Here is a 4964-nt window from a genome sequence, read left to right on the forward strand (position 1 = left end):
TTTGCCCATTTTGAAAGGGCAAAAAATGATATTCCTTCTTGTATTAATTTTAATTTCTTTTTAAAGTTGTGAGGTTAGACATTTTAACATGTTTACAGTCATTCACATTTGTTCTTTTTGAATTTTTGTTTTATATCTTTATTTTGGCAGTCGTGTTTATATTTTTCTTGTAGATTTATCACAGTGTTTTATATATTAGGGATATTAACCATTGGCTATCATACATGCTGGAAATAGTGCTGTCTTTTTCTCATTGTGGTAAAATACACATAATGTTTACATGTTAGTCATTTTTAGGCGTACAGTTCAGTGGTATTAAATACACTCACCGTGTTGTGCAACCACCACCACCATCCATCTCCAGAACCCTTTTTATCTTGTAAAACTGGAACACTGTACCCCTTCAACAACAACTCCCCATTCCCCCTTCTCCCCAGTCCCTGGCAACCAACGTTCCACTTTCCATCTCTATGAATTTAGCTATTCTAAGTACCACATAAATGGAATTGTTAGGGAAGCAGAAGCCTAGGAGCGCCAGAGTAAAGCCGTTTTAAGTTCAGCTCCATCTTAGAACTAGCAAGGCACATTCTGTGCCAGTTGCAACCCATGGTCCAAAGATGTTTATAGTTGAAGAAAACCCACAAGGACACACACCTACAACATCAGAAAGCCAGATGTCTTAATACCCATAACAACGTGTGCTTTCAAGATAATAATAGTTAGGCTTCGGTGTACTCACACACTAAAATGTCAAGGACAGTTTTCTTTAAATCAATAGAATAATAAATTTTGTCATGCTGCCTGCTCACCCGCATATAGGCACAGCTTAGTTTCGTCTTTGCATAGACAAGACCCTATAAAATAAAATCTTAAAGATGGTGCATTTCTCTGCTTGCTTTCTGAGGACACCCCACTCTGTAATGCAATTGCTTTCAATAAACTATCTCTTCTCACTATACTCTGTGACCCACCTTGAATTCTTTCCCGCCTCAGATCCAAGAATGCTCCCTTGGGGTCTGCAGTGAGACCCCTTTTTCTGGTAACTGAATCATACAACAGTATTTGTCTTTTTGTGACTGGCTTATTTCACTTTGTTATTTGTATTTTAATCCTGTGTATCCATATCTATATGTTGTGTATGTTGTAACAAATTTTAAATGAATGTTGACAAATCTTTTTTTAATAGTTTCTGATTTTAGATCGCCCCCCCACCGTGCTAGCTCAAGATTGAAACGTATTTGCTGTATTTTCTTTTGTAGTTTTATTTTTTGCATTTATCATTTAATTCATTTGGATTTATTTTTGAGAAAGGATTAAGGTTAGGGTCTGGCTTTATTATTAATTTCCTCAAATGGCTGGCAAGTTGTCTACCACCACTTGTTTGAATAATTCAAACTCTACTACTGATAAGAAGTAGCGTTTTTATCATATACCAAATTCTTGTCCATGCTTGGGACTATTTCCAGATTTCACTTTTTGTCCCATTGTTCTGTCCATCTGTTCTTATGCCACTGACACATGATTTTATTTCTTATTGCTTTATTATTCATTTTGAAAGCTGCTGGTACAGACACATCTTCATCACTTTTCCTTTTTATACTGTTCCTGAATATTCTTTTGTATTTACTTTTCAAGATTAATTCATACTCTGTTTGTCTAGTTTCAAAAAAGTCTCATTGAGGTTTCAGCTGGAATTACATTGAAAATGTTTATTAGTTTAGGAAGAATGAATACTTTTACAAATGTTTTGTCTTCTTATTCAGGAAAAAGGTGTCATGCCAATTCTTTGTTTTTAAAAATCTTTTGGTGGAATTTTACACTTTTCTTTATACATGTCTTGAATATTTCTTATCTAATTTATTTCTAGATATGTTTTGCAGTTACTGTTGGAAATAAGATCTCCTTCCTATTTTTTTAAAAAACGGGGCTGTCTTAGTATATAAGAAAATGATTGCTATTTATATATTTATTTTTAAGCTGTTATTGGCCTGAATCCTGAATCATTCTTATTTCTAAAATTTTAATTCATCTGTTTGGATTTGCCAGTTAGGCAACTGAAGTACATTAATATATTTTCCAATATTTAGGCATGCTTGTATTTCTTAGATAAACCCCACTTAGCCATGGATAATTTTTACATTATCATTGATTTATTTAGTTTTTCCTGTCTCTTTTTGAGTCAATCTTGGTAATTTATAATTCCCAAGATAATTTATTTACATTTCCCAATTTATTAAATAGCCCTACCAAATATTATCTTACAGTTTTTCTAATTTTCTCCACGTGTTACTTCCCCTTTTTAAGGGCTGATTTTGTGTTTTTATATTACTTGTCTTTTCTTACAAGAGTTTAAATCATATTATTAAGACTTCCAATTTATTTGTCAATTCTATTGTTCTTCTAGCTCATTAATATATACCTATATGTTTATTTATTATATTATTTGTTCTGCTTGCTTTAGATTTGTTTTGTTGTCCCCTCAACTTCTTGAATGCTTAGTTTATTTTCATTATTTCTTGTTTAATAATAATAGTGTTTAAGACTACACCTTTTCTTGTAAGTGCAGATTTCTTCCAGATACAACAGGATTGCTATATAAATTTCTGATTACCACTATATTAAAATAGTATGAAACTGATTTATTCTTTAGGTGGATATTTATCAAAGTTTAACTGAGTACTTTCTGAATTTCCAAGTTGATTTTTTTTTGCTTGCTTTTGCTTATTTCTAGCTATATTGCATTGTGCTCAGAAAAATGGTCTGTATTATTTCTACAGTTCAAAATTTATTGCTGTTTTTGTTTTGTCCTGTATCTGGTCAATTTTGTGATTGTTCCATGGACTTTGGGAAAGGGAACACACACTCTTTTCACAGGGGGTAGAGTTGGACACATATCTAGGCACATATCAGTTTAATAAATTATATTATTCAGGAACAAATCTCTGATACTGATCTCTGTTTAGAGTAAGTGCAGCTGTGCACCGAAGTTGCAGATGTTTGTACTGTCAAGAGCACCAGGGCTGGAGAAAGCTGATATTTTTCTCCTCTAACACTGTCCAGTGTCCCTGAGGCTCAAGGACTTGCTAAAGTCTAGAGCTCAGCAGCAGGCCAGGAAACAAACATAAAGGGCCCCTGAGTAGCCAAAAGGAACACCACTAGTGTCCATGTACTCCCAAGCTCCGTTGTTACCAGAGTTAAGCCCCCTAGGTCATAGCTCATTGCCTCCGCGTTTACATTATACAGTGCCTTTTAGTGAATCTGGTGATGCGGCCTCCTAGTACATTTTGGATTGGGCACGAAAAACTCATAGGTGAGTGAGCCAAACATGTGGTTGACAGTAAGTGAAGAGAAACGTATCTAAGCCTTCAATGAGCCCAGAGGATAGAGTATCATGCACTAGTGCAATCATCAGTACAAATTTGTGCTGGACAGCTCCCATTTGCCACTCCAGACCTGCTCTCCACTCTTCTCCACTCTGCTGTGTCCCAGGAGGCTGGTATCAGTTGTGGGTCTCAACTGCATCAAGGGCTTCTGATGCGGGTTGGACCAAGATAATTGTTTTCCTGGAGGGAGAGAGGAGAATGAGGTTGGTGTTGCACCTCTCCTACCAGCCCTGTCCCTAGGCTCCTGTAACTGCTCCCTGCCTTTACTGCTCTAGGACTAGGGATGTTCTTATTCTAGGGCAGTGCACCGGCTCCTGTGGTTTCCCTACTCCCAGCTCAAACCTTTGCAGATAGTCCCTTTATTACAACCGCCTCTCAAATTACCCAATTTGAATGTTTCATCTGTTTCCTGCTGGACCCTAAACGATACAGAGCTGGTAGGAAACTTAGGAATAATTTAGCCGAAGTTCCTCATCTTTTGATTGGGAAAAAGGCATGCTAAAGGTCACAGGTTTATGGCTAGAACTAGAATTCCGGACACTGGAATCTTAGTTTGCTATTCTTGCTTCTCCAGTATTCTTTCAATCCAATTTTGTTAAATACAGAGAGCTAGAATTGACTTATAAACACAGAAGAATATGAAAAATAAGTCAAAGATTTACCACCCCCTTCATTGGAATCAGGCCCAGCTAATCTGATCTTTTGAATCATTTTAGGGGAGTGGGAGGGGAGGTAGGCATATGTGCTCAGTTTCTTATTTAGATTCAATATTCTTTCTTCTCTGATCTATATTTTCTACTTTTTGTAATAAAAAGTTACGATAGTAAAGAAATAAAACACTTTAAGAAATGTTTTCAGTCAAAAACTTCTGGTGCTTAAGAGAGTAGGCAAATCTTCAGCTATTTAGAGTGTTCATCCATCTACAATGGTACAGTTCTAGAGAGTTTCTAGAGTATTCTGGAGCAGAGATTTTTACTGCCTTACTAAATGAGGAACGGTTGGTCCAAAATCCCATACTGATTCTTTGGAGTAGGTTTGTTGCAGAGTCCAAAATAGGACAGGATTTTTAAAAAATGGAATTCAGAGAGTTTAAAAAATATATTATCATTAGGATTATTTCAATATTTCAAGTAAAAAAAAAAAAGGAAAAATCAATGAGGGGTTTCTTGTTGCAACTGTGGTGCCCAACATGGAGAATCACTTTATGAATAACTTTTCATGTCTTAGCTTATTTTGTGTTGCTATAACAGAATACCTGACACTGGCTAATTTATAATGAGAAGAGGTTAGGTAGCTTATGATTCTGGTGCTGGAAGGTCCTAGAGCCTGTTACTGGCATCTGCTTGGTTCTGGCAAGGGCTTCCATGCTGCATCATAACATGGTGGAAGGTCAAGGGGGATTGGACACTTGTGAAGGGACAAAACACAAGAGTGTCCTCACATTATAACAACTCATGCTCACAGGGATTAATCCAGTCCCATGAGAACTAATCTATTCCTGTGAGAACTAAGACATTAATCTATCATAACAAACTAATCACCTCTTAAATGCACCACCTCCCAACACCATTACATTGGCAA

Source organism: Homo sapiens, chromosome 15 (assembly GCF_000001405.40).
Source record: "Homo sapiens chromosome 15, GRCh38.p14 Primary Assembly".
In the NCBI taxonomy this organism is placed as follows: domain Eukaryota; kingdom Metazoa; phylum Chordata; class Mammalia; order Primates; family Hominidae; genus Homo; species Homo sapiens.